The following is an 18,820-nucleotide window of genomic DNA, read 5'->3' on the forward strand; positions in this document are numbered from 1 at the left end:
AGTTGGGGCAAGTTAGGTAACTTCTCTAAGCCTTTAAATACATTCATACATATGCACACGCACACACACACACACATACACACACATAATGGGGCCAATTATACTTTCAACTCATAGAATTGTTCTGAGAATTGAGATACTAAAAGCAAACTAAGTGTTTCTATGCTGTAAACACAACAGAAATGTAAAGTATTGTTATAACAGACATACTTGTATTTCTTCAAATAATGTACACATTACTTTACTCAAAATTATTTGATTTCTATTCTAGCTTTCATGTTTTTTGTTATTTTAGGAGTGAGTTTCTAATTAATTCAGTTTATATGCATTTCCTATCTAAAGTCTTTTCACATTTTCAAAGCTCCTGCACGAGTGACAGAAAAACACAAGCTTAAAATATCTAGAGAAACAGCACCACAGAAATAGGATAGATAGATAATTGAGAAGGCATCTGCCCTCTATCCAGCACAGGGTCAGTACTACTTCTGGTACTTACCCTGCTCACATATGAACTGACTAATATACAAGATTATCTATTGGAGCATTATCTGCAATACCAAAAGACTGGAAATAAACAGGTGTCCATCATCAGGGGCTGGTTAATTACTCCATGGGTAGTAAATAGTTACATAATGACATCTAATGAATTTCTCATCCTGAAATTGCTTCCACATTGACTCTGGGCTTGGCCCCATGACCTGCTTTTGCCAATGGAACATTAACCAATGGGATTCAAGTAGAAGCTTAATAAAACCTCCACAGCGGGGCCAACCCCTCTCTGTTTTTGTGGGACCCAGTCGCCATATGAAGCAGCTGGGGCTGGTTTACTCAAGGCACATATTCCAACTGAGGTCAGACTCTCCCAACAACCTGCTAGTGAGGCCATCTTAGACCATCTAGCCCCAAATAATCACATCCATATGAACAAATCCAGGCAAAAGCAGCAGTAAAAAACCCTTGGCAGATCTCAGGCCAAATAGTTCACCCATAGAATTATGACTAATAAAAGGGTTGTTGTTTTAAACCACTATGTTATGGAGTAATCTGTTATGCAGCTAATTGATAACTGGCACACTCTGATATCTCCAAAACGATGCAATACTAGGAAGTATTATACTACCTAGGAAGAAAGGAAAAGCATGCATTCTATGTACTGACATGGTACATCTCAAGATGTACCATGATAAGATCTTACATGGTAAAATCTCAAGATATACTGTTAAATTAACAGGGCAAACAGTAAGCTGCCTTTTGTGTAAGAAAGGGAAAATTTTAAAATGTGTATATGTTATTTTGCATGGATGGGCGCTGGATATATACTCAAGAAATTAATAGACAATGGTTCCTTATTCTGATGGAAGAGCGAGTAGTGAATTGGGTGGATGGGGACGGAGGTGCTAGCGAGACTTTCCAATAAACACCTTTCTAAACTGTTCCAGTATAGGAACCATGTGACTAATACCTATGCAAATAAGTATTTTGAAAAAGGGAAAAATAAGGCTAATACAAGATAGAAATGACAAAGCTTGAAAAAGTTGAATTTCAAACTGACGATTATAATTCTGCTATGCAACCATCCTTCATCAACAACAGCCTTCCTTTGAACCGGAATAATCGTTTCTTTGTAACACATATGATTATTTGTACACCTGGCTGTCTTCCCTGCTAGATTGTAAGTGCTTTAAAAGCAGGGACCATATCTCATGCATCTTTGTCTCTTCAGCAAGTGGCAAGCATCTTGCCGGGCACAGAAGAAAGCCTTGCTCAATAACTGTTTGTTGAGTCAAAAAAATAAACAAAAACATTCGGACCTCACTAACAGTGTCTGTTGTTAATGCTGATGAGTTCAATAAAATCTTCAACAGCCTAGCTTCTATCTGTACACATCCTCCACACACCATCTTTCAGGAAAATGGTGAGCATTCCTCATGATCTGGGCTCATGAATGTACTCTGAACTACTGGGGAGAGTATATACAAAAGCTAAATTCGAACACTACGAAAAGAAAAATGCAAAACAACCTCCTCTATTTAAAAAAACAACAACATTTGACTAGAGGGGGTCTAGAAAAAGAAAAGAAGAAGGATCTTTTATTATTTCTCATAAGTAACACATTTGACTACTGTGGTTGGAATAAGCAGCCCCGCTCCCACCCCCTGCTTGCAAAGCAAACTAAGCCACCCGAATAAGTGGACCATGGGGATATAGAGGCAGAAAACTCCCGGCCCCATCCCCAGGCCTCCAGAGAATTTGACACTCAAGCCACGGTGGAGAGGTTTTCTGTTATGAGTTTAGCATTTCTAAGAAAGAGGAGACCACAGGCTTTCCCTGTAGTCCATTTCAAGAGTCTGATAGCTCTCACTGGAAATCTTCACTTCCTTTGAACTTGTACCTTCCTGCTGTGCCTCAGGCCTCTCCCTCTTCTGAGAGTTCTTGTCTCCATGTCTGATCCCTGTGAAAGTGCAGGCATTTAAGGAGGAGGTCTGGGCCCCCTTCACGGTGGTGTCCACACCTCTCCCAGGGGGATGTGCTCGGTAAGTGTGCATGCAGCACCATCTCAGCCCTGTGCATCCTGGACCGCACCAACAAACAGCACCACACAGCTTGGGGACCATGTCCAGATTCACACGCAGACGATAAGCACCGTGGCCAATACCCAAGCGTTAGATAATTAAAGGTCCCTCCAAGGATAAACACAAGTAAGAGTGGAAGCAAAGGAAGTGCACACGCTTGTCTCAAGAAAGACAGGGCATGTAGCCTTTTCCCTAGGATCTCTCATCATCTTCGCTTCTCTTTCTCACATCAAATGATGCCAATTCTTTAACTTTCCTAGGTTCCATTTCCCAATGCTTTCATCAGTTTCACTGTCTTCTGCGAGGCTGAATTTCCCTAATTAAGGGCAGTGGGAGACGCTCCACATTTGGAGTCCCTGTGAGGCAGCAAAGATGGAGAGCTGAGACTGACCATCCAGAATCCAGGTGTGCCTTCGCCACACAGAACAACAAGCATCGTTGATGCCTCTAGTAAGTGCCAGGTGTTGGGTTAGATGCTGTTGGAGATATAAAAGGTGGAGACATCATCTCTGTCACTTAATGAGAGTGACACTGATCGGACAGGATTTAAAGAAGGGGACTCTGGTGTGGGTGGGAAGAGCACAGTGGGAGGGTTGGGGCAGGGGCACGGCCTTGGGACTAGAGTAGGTGGAGGCAGTGGGGCGGGGAGGAGGAAAAGAAGGAAGGAAGAGGCCGGTCAGAGGAAGCCCAAAAGTGGATTCCTGGACACACAGTAAAAAGGGGAGGACGACTTAAAGACGGTTTCCAGATGTGGGGGTCTGGGGAGAAGGGAAGCTTTTACAGCTGCTGACAGAGGCTGACAGATGCAGAGAGGGCTCGTGGTGAGCTGGCTGAATTCGGGGTAAACAAGAGGAGATTTCATGCTTCACCTCAGATGAGGAAATAGGACTAGGAATACAGTTTTATGATTGAAGCCGTGACAGAAAAGCCTTTCCAAAGGAGCACAGTGGAGGAGAGAACTGGAGAAGAGGCACGGAGACCGCCAAGCGTTCCAGGTGCAGGCGGCAGGAGGGAGCCCAGGATGCCGGCAGAGCGAGCCTTGGTCTGTGAACCCCAGGGCCGATGGGCACCGGCTCATCTAATTCATTTGTGTACAGATCCACAAAACTGCACCTGGCTGTGGCCGTCAGTAAGTGCTATATAAATGCTTCATAAGTGTTTGTTGAAGGAAGTTGAAATGTAGTCGTCAGAAGAGTGAGAGGGAAACCAGCGACAGAGCCTTGTAAGTCTAAGAAAAAGAATTCAAAGATGGTCAAGAGCTAACATTGCACAGGGAATTACAGTATTTCCGGAAGACCAAGGGCAACTCTGATTGTTCCAGACTGCCTGGGAGCACCAGAGTCTGATTGTTCCAGACTGCCTGGGAGCACCAGAGTCTGATTGTTCCAGACTGCCTGGGAGCACCAGAGGTCTGGGTGGGGGCAGGAGTCAGTCCACCTGGAACTTCTGCCTCCAGTGCACTGAGTCTGCACGGACCACCAGGGCTGACACTGCCTTACTTAATATGGGGGTGGGGGAAGTCCCTGCGATATATAATGGTCTCAATTTAAATTCTGTGCTGTTTTTATTTTAGCTGTGTAATTTGGAAACTTCAAATAAAAAGCCTGAAAGGAAAGTTGGACTATTTAAGCTTACACAGACTCTATTAATGCTATATGGTTATTCTACCCCTGACTTTGGAAGAAGGAGAAACTGGCATGGGAATACACTTTTCTAAAAAAAATACTATTTAAAAATATGAAAGTTTATTTAACATCTAAGGAAAGGTACTTAATTAGAGGGACACTCAACAAGAAGAATTGAGGATCTAAGTAAATAGTCCCCATCTGCTCCTGGTCCTACCACCTGGCGATTACTTCCTCTTCTTCTCTGATAGATTTTAGCCAACCAATTTTGTTTTATTTGTGCAAGTTGAGAGGCCACCTGTTATGGAATATACTTCCACATTAAACAAAGTGAACATTTCCTATTTCTGTGCTTCCCATATGATTTTTAAAACACAAAGCACTCACTTTCACCTTAAACAGATTTAAGAAATGCTGACTCTGATGAACAGGTATAAACAAGGCAATCTTTTGTTTATGAAAATTGTTAACGACCTACCCACAGAAAGACATGCCCTGCGCCACACTGTACCCCCCACCCCCGCCCACCCGGCTCCCCGATGCTGGTGAATTAATCTATCCACACGTTTTTGCTCATTTCCCTGGCTGTTACCAGCTGAAGTGAAGAAAAGACATTTTACAAGGGGACATGGTATATTTGTGCTAAAACAGGCACCACACAAATCCAGAGAAAGGAGCCAAAAGGAAATACCAGGCAGAGGGAACAGCGTGGATAAAGGCAAAGCTGAGAAGAGGGTAAGTGTTTCGTGTTGGGGGATGGTGTATCTGGGGGCTGGGGGGAGTGGGGTACAGTGTATTGGGTTGAGGATTTATAGCCAGGAAAACTGGAAATAAAGGGGAAGGAGACTTTGTGAAGGGTTTTAACTATCGGGCTAAGGAAAGCTGCATTGTTCCTAACAACTGGGCACCAGTGGAAGTTTAGAGCCAGGAATATAATTGTCACAGAGGTGCTTTGGACTGAATAATACTGTGGCTGTAGGCAGCTCTGGGTTGGGGGTTGGGAGGTACAAGCCTCCAGGAATCCACTGCAGCAGTGTGGGCCCTGCCACGTTGTCCTGAACAAAGTGCTATGGGGATGGACACAAACATGAAGTGAAAACTCCAGAGATCACCTGACCTCCACGTGCCACTGCTCTGACTGCTGGACCACAGTGATGTTTGGGGTCTCCTGGAATTAGTGTCAGCTCAGAGCCAGTCACCAGTAGTCCCCAAAAGGTCTGATTAATTCCTTTTCCCCAGTGCACAGTCACCCTGGCAAAAGGCTATAGGTCCCTTTGGGGAAGGCTGGGAGAAAAAGCAACAGTATTAATTCTTGACAGTGTGGTAGGGTCCTTCGTCAAGGAGACCCGGCCTCCTCTTCATTCAAGGGCTTCTGGGTCGGTAAATTGGTGCAAGTGTGTGAATTGATCGAGGGGCCGTGACTCTCTGTTTTCAGGGTGCAAGTTGGGCTTTTGTTCCCTTCACCTAGAACTCCTCCACTTATACAGACCAAGTAAGGGTTTAGTAGATGTCCGCCTATGTCATTTCTAGGAACGCCATGAGGACAGGGTTGGAAGTGGGGGAAATGAAGTGTTAGTCTGTGTACGGATACAAAGAAAGTGAGATGATGGAACTGAAGATGACTAAGATGTGGGGAGCCAGGACTAGTGGTTCCCATTGGCAGGTGGTCTCCTAACTGGCAATGCTAGGGAGAAGTGTATAAATCCTCAACCCAATACACTGTACCCAATACACTGTTAGTGGCGGAGGGAGAGGCAGAGCTTGGTTTGAAATGGTGGGGGATTCTCCAAGGTGGCATGGACATACAGGATGGAAATGGGAGACGTGTCAGGCCTGGAGATATGGGTTTTGGAACAACCTGCATTAAAATTGGAAGGATTAGAGAGAGTAGGTGAGATCTCCGAGACAGAGGAAACAGAGCGAGGAAGCTAAGACCTAGGCTGGGGCAAATGTCTGAATTTACCTGAGTGGGGGAAGACAGAGAAGCTGGCATGTTGGACAGAGATGACTGGTCACCAAGACAGAAGGAAGAATCAGGCCGTTTAACAGGATCAAGAGGGTCTAGTGTTTAAAGAGAGATCTTTCCAACTGCTACAGGAAAGTAAAATGTTATGGCTCCAGACACCTGCTGAAATTGGTGCATGATCCCCTCAAAGACAGTGTTTCCTTAAAAACCTGGGAAAAGAAGAGCCCCTGGTGTGGTGGAGGGTGGCAGTAGGGACAGTTGGGAGTGAAGCTGTGCAGTCAGGAAGAAACCATCCAGCTTGAGGAAGCTAAAGACATGGGGAGGAGACACAGTGCAGACCAAAGGAGCAGCCAAGCTAAAGGCAACTTTTTTCTAGGACTTCGGGGTCCTAAGTAAACTTGTGGGCAGTGAACATGCTGGAAGTGTCTGGACTGTTCAGGTGGAGAACAGGCAGTACAAGGGACGAAAAGCAAATGTCCAGATGGCGATTAGTGGAGGCCTTGGGGGTGGAAGATCTCAGGGCTCACCCCTGTGGTTATCATCTTAGTGAGGGGGCTAGTGTGGACTTCAGGCCCAAGGAAGAATAATATTTTATTCTTTACAAAATAGTGCATGAAAGATTAGCTCTGAGTCTTTATAATCTTATCATTGGCTTCAAATTTCAATCCCATATTATACTTTCCAAGTATATTTTGTTAAAATTTCCTTAATTCATAATATTCTAATCAGCAATGAGTTTCTATCCACATGTCTATGAGCACATATATTAATTTAAAAATCTGCATTGCTCTTGTATGAATGAAATATAAAGAAACTGAACTTCTAACGAATGAAAGACGCTGGATGAAAAGATAATATTTTATCTGAGTTTCAGTTCAGTCATATGTCTGAGAATGAGTTTATCTAGCCCATAAGCCTTCTGCTTTCCTTTCAGTTCTTTTTTTTCCACTGCCATTCATAGGTTTTTTAAAGATCTTTCCATTCACTTCTGCAGGACTCTGCTAAATAATGCTGGTTGCTTGCAGCTTAGCCCTACCCTGGAGATGTGGCTCCTCCTGGCAGTCCTGGCGACCCACACTTTGGACCCCATTCACCATCTCATTGTTCTGTGACCCACTTCTGACTTCTCCAGCCCTTTTCTTTATTTCATTTCACCTAAGCCCAAATAGCAAGTCTCACGCTCAAATCCTGCTCTGTCCTTGCTTTCCGCCCTGAATCTGTCCATTTGTCCTTTTGCAGCTTTTATTTCTTCCCATCTTTTTCTTTTCATTTCTTTTTTTTTTTTTTTTTTTTTTTTTGAGACAGAGTCTCACTCTGTCACCCAGGCTGGAGTGCAGTGGTGCGATCTTGGCTCACTGCAACCACCACCTCCTGGGTTCCAGCGATTCTCCCGAGTAGCTGGGACTACAGGTGGGCATCACCACACCCAGCTAATTTTTGTATTTTCAGTAGAGACGGGATTTCACTATGTTGGCCAGGCTGGTCTCAAACTCCTGACCTCAAGTGACCTGCCTGTCTCAGCCTCCCAAGGTGCTGGGATTCCAGGTGTGACCCACCGCGCCTGGCCATATTTATTTCCATCTTTCCAAAGACTGCAGAAATCTGCCACTTGAGAGAGGCTGGCCTTGTTTTCTCTCGACTCAAATCTCCTCCTGGTTTTCTAAGCTCATGAAAATCTCTATGTGACATTTTTTTATTTGCAGTTTTAAGCTATCTATATATTTTTAAGTCTTCACCTTTAAACCTTCACTGACTTCCCTTTGCAGGTGCACTGTCATTTTGGTAACTCAACACTGTCTGCATTTTATTTTGGTGCATGGGCGGGGGGCTCTGGCTTCGATTTAGTCCTTCAGACACATACAGTGAAATAAATAGGTACTCGACGATAGTATGTGTTGTTGCTGTGTAGTTCTTTTGCTCCTGAACAGCAAATACCATTGGACTTGGCATTGTCCTACTGTGGCTGCAAGCTGTGTCTCACCACAGCTAACGCCAGTGCAGAGGAGCCATGCCACGCAAAGGTCCCCTGCGGCAGCACCAGCCTGAAGCTCTTCAGTCATGAAAATCAGGGAACACGTCATTGATGACTGTCCTGGTCCTGGCACAGGTTTTACCAAAATGCAATCAGGTTTCGCCAGAAATGCAGTCATGTGACTCCTTTCTTCTCTGAGGGAGGATGGTGTTCATGAATGCAATGGTAGCATATGACATTTTTAGTTGCCCCTAACCATGTGGCCCTAAAAATACTCCATTTAGGTCAGGTGTGGTGGCTCACGCCTGTAATCCCAGCACTTTGGGAGGCTGAGGCAGGTGGATCACAAGGTCAGGAGTTCGAGACCATCCTGGCCAACATGGTGAAACCCCGTCTCTACTAAAAATACAAAAATTAGCTGGGCGTGGTGGCGGGCGCCTGTAGTCCCAGCTACTCGGGAGGCTGAGGCGAGACAGAATTGCTTGAACCCAGGAGGCAGAGGTTGCAGTGAGCCAAGAGCATGCCACTGCACTCCAGCCTGGGCGACAGAGCGAGACTCTGTCTCAAACAAACAAACAAACAACAACAACAAAAAAAACACAAAAAAACTCCATTTAGTAGCTTTGAAAATTCCAAGTTTCCTTTAAAGAAGGGAGGTAAGGAAGGAAATTATGATGCATTTAACAGCCACGTGAAGTAGACAGTCTCATTTTAGAGATCAGAAAACCAAGGGTAGAGAGTGAGTATCACAATAGGTGGCCACAAGCCACAGTGGGAACTCAGGGAGCTTAGGTCAGGATTCCAAGCTTTCTCAAATAAAAGTTGCTACCTTGGCCGGGTGCGGTGGCTCACAACTGTAATCCCAGCACTTTGGGAGATCCAGGCGGGCGGATCACGAGGTCAGGAGTTCGAGAGCAGCCTGGCCAACATGGTGAAATCCTGTCTCTACTAAAAATATAAAAAATTAGCCAGTCACAGTGGCACATGCCTGTAGTCCCAGTTACTCAGGAGGCTGAGGCAGGAGAATCACTTGAACCCAGAAGGCGGAGGTTGCAGTGAGCCGAGATCACACTGCTGCACTCCAGCCTGGGCAACGGAGCGAGACTCTGTCTCAAAAAACAAAAAAAAAGTTGCTACCTTTACACAAAGGATGAAAAAGTAGGAAAGAGACTGCAGGAAAGGAATGTGAGAGAGGAAAAACATAAAGAAATTTCAAATTTGTGAATACACCTTTCCCCTAACTCATGTGTTGTTCATGATTAGGACTAAGTGCTGAAGCCAGAGGTGACCCAAATTCTTAGGAGCAGAGGAGGACAGAGGCAGGCAGGTAGGCCGATTCCTGCTGGTTCTCTGTGTTACTTTTGCTCCCATAACCTCCCCTACATAGGTTGGTTTCAGATTCTCCAATAAAAATGTATGTTAAAACTGTAAAAACAATAAAACATGCAAATCTCTTCCATTTGCAGCCAATTGTTACCATGCAGGTATTCTTCCTGGCAAATATTCAAATGTCACCAGCATCACGTGCTTAATATTATTTTAGTCAATATGATTTGTGTCAAAATCGCCTGAATTCAGTGATTGTTGGATCTCATTATCACCAATGTAGGTCCTCACACCACACCCCTCACTGCTGATGAACTCACAAGAAAGACTTCATACTTTAAGAACTAGTATTTTCTTAGAAAAGGAAGAAAAAAAGCAGTTCTCAGTAAAAGATAAACCACAGAGCAACTGGGTTCAGATGAGTTGTACACATTAAACCACACACACACACACACATAAACACACACACACACACACACACACACACACACTATGAAAATGATGTTGAGGCATTGTCTAATCCACAAATGTGAGTAAGTTCATAATTTAGGAGTTAAAACGAGAACCCTACTCATGACTTTTCCCGGCACTGAGAATGCACTGAAGAATGATGAAATCACACTCCAGATTACCCCATTTGTTCTCCTGACAGCTCTGTGGACCATTATCATATAGAGGCCCTTTGCTTGGTGAGACCCTGACCACTTGACATTCTTTCTCAGAGCGGGCTGGTCAGAGTTCTCTCGACGGCAGAATCTACAGGGCCCACCTCAACGCACAAGGAAGCCCCAGGCCCTCAGGGACCTCTAGGTCCCAAAAAACAGTGTCAGATAAAGAAATTAAGAGGGGGCTGGGAGAAGCACTCTGTCAAATAGAAAGCCTATCCACAGAAAACTTAGGGATGAACAGAGCTAAGATGGGCTGATGACCTTGAAGTTGCAGCCAAAATGATGAGGCCAGGTGGGCTTGCTGGCCAAGAAATGCAATCTCAAGAGTGGGCCATGGCTGTGATGCCCAAGCCTTTTTGTGATAAAGCTAAGAAATACGGGAGAAATGGAAGGGAGAGGGGCAGAACAGACAAGGAAGATGGGAAGCAAGAAGGACAGGAAGTGCCAGCAGACACCAGCAGCAGGGACGAGTGCAGAAAGTGTCAGACAATCCATGAATTGGAGGAGGACACCCAGTGAGGAGGGAAAAGGGATTGGACTGTGCCACCATCTCTGTAGGGGAGGTGAGACAAACGTCCGGTGCAGCTCGGAAGATGGCCTGGAAGGCCTAACCCTTCCACCTGCCTGACTCCTGACACCACGACATACACAGTTATTTTTAAAGTGTTTAAAATATAAACCACATTCATGGGAACTTGAAGTCAGGTCTCACCCTGACATCCATCCATCTGTGTATTTTCAAGGTTGACTCAAATGTTGAAAAGTCACCTGTGATGTGTTGTACCATTTGAGCTTTTGACAAAAACTATAAAGAAGCAAATTAAACCAGGAGGGAAATTTCTAGCTGCCACACTAATCAAAAACTGTCGGGTAATAAAAAAAAAAATCATGCTAAAAATAAAATTACATTTCGGGCCCTAAGGCTCATTTCTTTTCTTTTTTATTTATTTATTTATTTATTTATCTATTTTTGAGACATACGCTCACTCTGTCACCCAGGCTGGAGTGGAGTGGCACGATCTTGGCTCACTGCAACCTCCGCCTCCTGGTTTCAAGTGTTTCTCATGCCTCAGCCCCCCAAGTAGCTGGGACTACAGGCATGTGCCACCATGCCCAGCTAATTTTTGTATTTTTAGTAAATGGGGTTTCACCATGTTGGCCAGGCTGGTCTCAAACTCCTGACCTCAAGTGACCCACCTGCCTCTGCCTCCCAAAATGCTGGGATTACAGACGTGAGCCAGTGTGCCTGGCCTCCTAAGGCTCATTTCTATAAATAATACTTCCCCAGAACCCAACTCTAGAAAGCGATAATCATCCCTTAATGAATTCTCTTTTATATATATTATTGTGATGGTCATATTATTGCCCCATATTTGTCTTGATGTTTTGGATTTCAAATGGACAAGGCATCCCACCCTTTCTTGCAATTTAGAGGCATCGTCCCTTGGCAAGATACAGAAAGACTTGCTGGTAGAAATACGAATCACCATGCCATTTAGAAAGCAATCTGGAAATGTCTATTCCAATCTAAAAATCTATTCTTTTCTTAATCAAGTCATCTCACGTCCTGTAAGCACAGAAATGTTTATTACAGTATTATTTGTCATAGCTACATTCAATAATTCATGCTACAGTCAATCAAGGAATAGTACGCAGTCATGAAAAAACAAAAGAGGGATTTCAGCAATCTATCACTGTTAAATGAGAAAAAGAAAGATGCATAAAGGGACATATGATATGATCTGATTTGTATAAAAAACAATCACAACATATATTTGTGACTACAAAACATTTGGTAAGATTGTAGAAGCATAAAGTATGGAAGGACACAGACAAGGCTGATGCCACTGGCAATCTAGAAGAGAGGAATTAGAGTGGAAGGAGGGAAGGGAATGAGAGGAAAAAAGTAAATAAGTGAAAAATGAAAGCAAGTGTCCATGATAAGAACCGCATGGGTGCTCCTATCTCATTTATGGGAAATCATGTGTGTGGAGGTGACATAAACACATGGTGGTGAGATGGTCCCCAAAATATCAATGGCTTTTATTTCAGGGTGGTGAGATTTTTTTTAATAAGGTGAAATGTTTTTAAAAATAATTTTTACTTTATTTTCCTTATAGGTACTATTGGAAATATGTACAACCACATGAATTATTTACATAATCAGAAAAAATTCATTGAGAGAGAAATATGAAAAGTCTTATGCCAGGCAATGTATGTCCCCAGAGGAGGTGCAAGCAGGGAGATGAGGTTGTAAAGTTAATTTAGAACCTGACTAGGAGGGTTCTAAGTGCTAGGCAAAGACAGGAGCCTATCAACATATTAACAATAGGGCTGTGGTTTTGTTTGTTTGTTTGTTTTTGGTGGTGGGTTATGAGTGATTTTTTTTTCTTCTGTTTGCTTTTCTCTATTTTCCGGATTTTTCTGCAAAAATTCTATCTTGCTTTTGTAACCAGAACAAAAATATTATGTAAAAAATAACACAGTGGAAGTGGAAGTGGATAATCATCAAAGTGCTGACCCCCAGCAAAAGAAATGAAAATCCATTTATGAATCAGTAACGTCAAGGTGAGTCAGTAAGGACCCCAGATAAAGAAGAAACAGCGAACACTGAAAGGAACATAGGAGGCCTTAAATGTTTTCTAAAAAAAAAAAAAAAAAGAATGAGTGAAACTTTGCTTAGGAAGAACTGCTAAGGCTCAGTGGCCCTCTGTAAAGTTTACACTGATGTCTGCAAAAACACATTCAACCAAATGTCAAAGCTGGTTGATAGGATCCAAAAATTACAGAGAACTGTAATTGCTTTAGAGACTGGCCTATTTTTACCATCAAGTCTTTAAGTACAGCTACATCTTGGAACCCATATCAAGGAAAGGTACAATACCAAGGGAAAAGGCAATAGAAGTGATAGAAACCACAGAAGTGGAAGACACTGTGCTAAGATGATGTAAAGAGCCTTCCTCTGCACAGGAGAGACGTGCACCACTGAAAGCACTGCCTCAAAGAAACACTGGGATTTTGCACACCAAAAAAAGATTCCAATGTGATTCTGGCTTGATTCGTTTTGCAGTGCAGTCAACATAACAAATCTACGATCCATGTTAGGATAAATTAATTTAAAAGTTTCTATTCAATTGTGGTTTTCCTTCTTCTAACAGTTGGCACATTCTGAGAACTGCCTTTTGTTAGACACATTCAGGGGGAGGATGGTGGCATCACGTTGAAGAAGGCGGCAGCAGGAGGCTTCCAAAAGAACCTCCCAGCTTCAAGATTCTCTGACTCGAGATGAGACGCCATGCCAACCACCAGATTTTATGCTTTCTCTCTCTCAGATGCTCCAACTGAGGTAGTTTAGTAAATAAACTGTGTTTATGTTCTCTAGCATTCCTGAAGCAGATGTAATATAACTGAAGGCAAACAATTTTAGTAATGCAATTCATGCATTGCCATCTAAACACCACGTCATCATGAAACTGAAATGTTTACCAAATAATCAAAGCCCAAGACAAAGAAACCGAAAGGCATTCTGTAAGGCAAAGTACCAGCCAGTACTTCCAATAAAATAATTTATTGAGAGTTATCCTGGAGTGGCTTGTCAGAAAAAGTCAATGTGACTTGGTTTCTAATCACTAAAAGGACTGTCTTGCTGTTATTCCCAATGGTCAGGAAAAAAATGAGGAGAAACTGGGTTTGTTTTCATAGAGTAGTAGGGTTTTCCTAACAGAGTTTCAGGATAGGCTGGTCAGAAGGTAAGCAACGTTCTCCTTCCAATGATCCCCAATAGTTCACCCACATTTCCCAAAAGCATCAAATCTTGTCTTGACAACCTGGCAAGTGCTGACCGCCAAATGACAGGCCTCCTCCTTATGATGTTGTGAAATAAGAGTGACCATCCTTTGAGTTCAGTCCCAGCTTTTCCACTAACTGGCCACGTGTCTGTGGGCAAATGGCTTTATCAGTGTTGAGCCTCAGTTTCCTTAAGTAAAATGCTAAGGTTAGACAAAGTGATCTTTAGAAACCTTTTGATCTCTGGCAATCCATGACCCTTTACAATCAATTCCAGGTTTTGTTTACTACGTTCTAGGTTTAACACAAAATTAGACGTTGAGTGTTCACTTTAAGCAAAATGGCAAACAATAGGTTAGTCCTATGGGTTCCTTGTACTACGAAGATGTGAAATTCCCAAGAAAATGTCACAGAGTTGAGTTCAGAAAAATAGAAGAATGGAAAAAAGGAAGGAAGGGAGGGATAGAGGGAAGGATAGAAAGATAGGCCCCAGAACATGCAGAAACTGCCTCCAAGGTCAGTCAGCATCCTTCTCTTTCTCTGCATCGGTGGTGTGTTTTCTTCCGTCTTCCTTCTTGCCTTCACAACTTCTACTCCCATAATTCTCAGTATGGCCTTTTCATCAACCCAATTCTCTTTCTTTCTTCAAATGTGGCTCAAGCTCATGTCTTTTCTGTCTGACACCAGCAAGTTCTGATCTTCTGTTCTTTCTGAGTCCCCTCTTGGTGTGCCACCTAACTAACATGAAACCAGCAGCAAGTCTATTGGTAGGAACAGCCCAGGAAAAATGCCCACCAGATCTCCTAAAACCCTCAATGTCTCTCCCTACTGGGGCACAGCAGAGAGGTAGAGAGAAGGGAAAAGCTCCTTCTTCCCTTTCTTTTTTTTCTTTCGTTCCTTCCCTTTTTCTTTCAATTTAATGTTCATTGAATATCTCCTTTATGCAAAGCATTGTTCAAAGTTCTTTCACATACTATTTCATCTTATCTCTCCACAACCTCCCTGGAAATCCAGAGTCTTGGCCAATCAAATTCTGATCCTCTCTGTGTCTCTCCACCACCATCCACTCATCCCCCTCCACTCATCCCATCCACTCATCCCATCCTCCACTCATCCCCATCCTCCAGTCATCCCCATCCTCCACTCATCCCATTCTCCACTCATCCCCATCCTCCACTCCTCCCCATCCTCCACTCATCTCCATCCTCCACTCATCCCCCTCTACTCATCCCCATCCTCCACTCATCCCCATCTACTCATCCCCCTCCACTCATCCCCATCCACTCTGTCCCTTGGGATTGTGTTTGGTTGTTCTCTCCACCTTGGCCCTTCCTTCAATCAACTGCCAATTCTGAATCTCATTTCTGGCTCCTTTTTCTTCTCCTGCCTTTATATCTCTCCTGAACACCTAAGCCTCTTCTTAACTGGTCTCCCTGCAACCAGGTTCTCATTCTAAAGCATGAGTTGGTTGATATCACTGCACTCATCCAACACTTTATGTGACTCCATTTTCTATATAACATAACCTGAGTTCCATCATTTGACATTAAAGGACTTCTAACTTCCCCAAACCAACATCATTAAATCTTATCTTCTGAACATACCAGGCTTTTTCTGATTCTCCAAATATGGCTTGCAATTTTACTCTTGCAGGTTTTTGTTTGTGCTGTTCCTACCATGTGGAACAGCCTTCTCTCACCTCAGTCCTAGAGAAAAATCTTATTTTTCAAACCTAGCTCAAGTGCTACCTCATTCCTCCAAGTCAAAAGTGATTGTCCTTTCTCCTGAACTTTCTAAATTTTAGTGGCTTATGGTTCTAAAGTTGCCTCTAGGTCACAAAGTTCTGGAGGGCAGGGATCTTCTCTATTTTTCTTTGCATTCCAACACCATGTATCAACCACAGCAGAACTTTTTTTTTTTTTTTTTTTTTTTGAGACGGATTCTCGCTCTGTCGCCCAGGGTAGAACACAGTGGCACAATCTCAGCTCACTGCAACCTCTGCCTCCCTGGTTCAAGCAATTCTCCTGTCTCAGCCTCCTCACGCAGCACTTTTTAAGCGTAAGCAGAAATGAAGTTGCTAACCCTGATAATTAATTTACCAGCCACCATTGTCTTCCAAGTGTGCCTCCGAATTTAAAATCTACAAGCATTGATGAGGGCCTACTATGTACAAAGCACTCTGGCAGGAGATGCAAGGGCAAGTGAGCTCAGGAACAATGATGTTTATAATGAGCCATTTTAAAGACCTACCTCACCTCACTATGCTAGGCCACCAAATACACCATTATCATGAACACATAATCCAGTTTGGGGATCATCAATCCTTCAGAAGCCTTCCTTCCTCACTGAATATACTAGCGGTAAAATCCGTATGTTTCAAAATGCACCCAAGAAAAGTAGGCTCAGAACTCCAGAAATCGGGGCCTTTATTTCCTTCCAGAAGACAGAGTGGTTGATAAAGAAGAATGAAGGCATTTGTTACTCAGCAGTACTAATCTTCAAATCTACAATCTAGTTTAACTTCAGTTATAATGCGCATTTGGAGCCATGGAAGTAGCTGAAAAAACAAGAATGTCTGGAAAAACTAAAAATTTTATTACCTGTAAAGTTGGGCTCGTGGATGAAAACTTTTGTAAGGGATGATAATTTTTTGTTTGAAAGACTGGTATCAAGAGCAGCTGTGCAAATAGTTCTGACGAGCTCAAGGTGATCTAGAACATAAGTTGACCGTCTGTCCCAGCATGTTAGGGAAAGTCCCAATTTATACCTGTTGTCCCTGCACAATTATTACCATTGCCCCCTTTCACTCTGAAAACTGTCCCAGCTTGCATGAAAAATTTTACAACCACTGTATCAGTGCTATTGTCAGACACCAGTAGTTTCTCCATACAACATCGGTGGTTTGCATAGGTCTACCAGGGAGCAGAGAAATGGGGCAGAATCCAGGCTTCCTGACACCAAACTCAGGCTCTATCTAAAAGAACATATTTCCTCTAGGTTTTTCGTCATCAACTCATCCACAGGAAAACACTTTGGAAAATGGTAAAGATATATAAGCCATGGTTTCTGCAAGCTAGCACTTACAATCTTGGGGAGATGAAGCACATACATATTCAACAATTAAAGAGGATCAGATGAATTCATCATATGGTGCTAATGACATGGTTCAAATGACAATTTCAAAAGGAGCTAGAAAAGGTGAAAAACCCTCTAAGAGCTTCAGACTTCAGGGAAGGTTTCCGGTAGGTGATGGATCCTGAAAGATGTCTTCAAGGAGAAAAAAAAAAAGGCGTTTTTCTTTGAAAAAATAAAGGTAGAAAAACAAACAAACTGGCACAGCAATAAGCCACTTAAATAATTCAACAAGCATTACTACTCTGTATTCAAGAAGAGAAAAACACAACAGCAAGTCAAGACAAACACAAATGGTATATGTGGCTTTTCCAAAATGTCTCAGTGACTTAAGGCTCAACAAGCATTGGATCTTGGTGTCTTGATAACCTGGCAAGTGCTGTCAGATGTTCCTCCTTGTGATGCTGTGAGATAAAAGTGACCACTCTTTGAGGTCAGTCCCACCTTTTCCACTAACTGGCCACGTGTCTGTGGGCAAGTGGTTTTATCAGTGTTGAGGCTCAGTTTCCTTAAGTAAAATGCTAGGGTTGGACAACGGATCTTTAAATGCCTTTTGATCTCTGGCAACCCATGACCCTTTACAACCAATTCCAGGTTTGTTTAGTATGTTCCAGGTTTAACACAAAATTAGATGTGAGTGTTCATTTTCAGCAAAATGGCAAACAACAGGTTAATCATATGGGTCCCTTCCCACTACAAGGATGTGAAATTCCCAAGAAAATATCACAGAGTTAAGTTTGGGGGAAAAAAAGGGAAAAAAGGAAGGAAAAGGGGGATAGAGGAAGGGAGAGAAACAGAGGCCCCAGAAATAAAGATAAAATTGAAGCCAGAGCTTTTATGTAAGGCTGACTACACAGTGCTCAAGGAAGTTTCAGACTCTCGCAAATGCTCCCGAAGCCCTGGGAATAGTGGTGAGATTCTAATGCCCATGCAGGGACATGACCTTGGTCTTGCATGAGGTAGCGGGGCCAGAACTGAGCCCCTTTCCTAAATCTCAAAGCCTCAAAAAGTCACCCTAACCATGAAAAGGTGGACTAAAGCACTCTGCCCACTGCCTCAGAGATAAAGAGCAGAACATTCCCTTGTATCCCTAGCTCAGGACACCTTTGGGAAATCAGAACCTTAAGCATGAACCACTTTCAGTTGTAAGATCGGAATTTATACTACCTGTGTATCTGAGTAGGGGAATCCCATGACAATAAATTAATACAAACACAGTTCTAGGATCATTGAAAGTCCTTAGATCTCCAGAAAAGACAAACATATGTCCACTATGTAGAAACGATTTCACAACTCAGGACTCACAAGATTCCTATAGAAAAGAGGCCGGGCATGGCAGCACATGCCTGTAATCCCAGCACTTTTGGAGGCTGAGGCAGGCAGATCACTTGAGGTCAGGAGTTCAAAACTAGCCTGGCCAACAAGGCTAAATCCCATTTCAATACAAAAATTAGCCAGGCATACTGGCATATGCCTGTAGTCTCAGCTACTAGGGAGACTGAGGCAGGAGTAATATCTGAACTTGGGAGGCAGAGGTTTCAGTGAGCCGAGATCGCACCACTGCACTCCAGCCTGGGCAACTAAGTGAGACTCCACCTCAAAAAAAAAAAAAAAGAAAAAGAAAAAAGAAAGAAAGAAAGAAAAAAGAAACAAAGAAAAGGAAAAATATCTGAGGTTGAACTGCCAGTATCACCCCCCAACACACACACAAATAAACTGCCATGAGGGACAGTGATAAAGGGAAAAAAAAAACTTTAAATCCTAAGAACTGG

At 43.2% G+C, this 18,820-nt stretch overlaps 1 protein-coding gene across 2 annotated transcripts in view, besides 3 other annotated features; it reads right to left on the reverse strand.

The window, feature by feature from the left end:
* BCL2 (BCL2 apoptosis regulator) overlaps window positions 1–18,820 on the reverse strand; it is a 196,745-nt gene that overhangs the window by 80,281 nt on the left and 97,644 nt on the right. The window lies entirely within an intron of this gene.
* Window positions 10,470–10,970: an enhancer, noted in NCBI's record as "H3K27ac hESC enhancer chr18:60881329-60881829 (GRCh37/hg19 assembly coordinates)". NCBI's record gives its function as "activates a minimal SCP1, AML or CMV promoter by ChIP-STARR-seq in naive H9 embryonic stem cells {active_cell/tissue: H9 hESC(naive)}" and the evidence as "EXISTENCE:reporter gene assay evidence [ECO:0000049][PMID:30033119]".
* Window positions 10,690–10,919: an enhancer, noted in NCBI's record as "active region_13464". NCBI's record gives its function as "activates an Ori minimal core promoter by ATAC-STARR-seq in GM12878 lymphoblastoid cells {active_cell/tissue: GM12878}" and the evidence as "EXISTENCE:reporter gene assay evidence [ECO:0000049][PMID:35858748]".
* Window positions 17,270–17,564: a silencer, noted in NCBI's record as "tiled region #13227; K562 Repressive DNase matched - State 9:DNaseU". NCBI's record gives its function as "represses a minimal TATA promoter and a strong SV40 promoter by Sharpr-MPRA in K562 cells {active_cell/tissue: K562}" and the evidence as "EXISTENCE:reporter gene assay evidence [ECO:0000049][PMID:27701403]".

This window comes from Homo sapiens, chromosome 18 (assembly GCF_000001405.40).
Source record: "Homo sapiens chromosome 18, GRCh38.p14 Primary Assembly".
In the NCBI taxonomy this organism is placed as follows: Eukaryota; Metazoa; Chordata; class Mammalia; order Primates; family Hominidae; genus Homo; species Homo sapiens.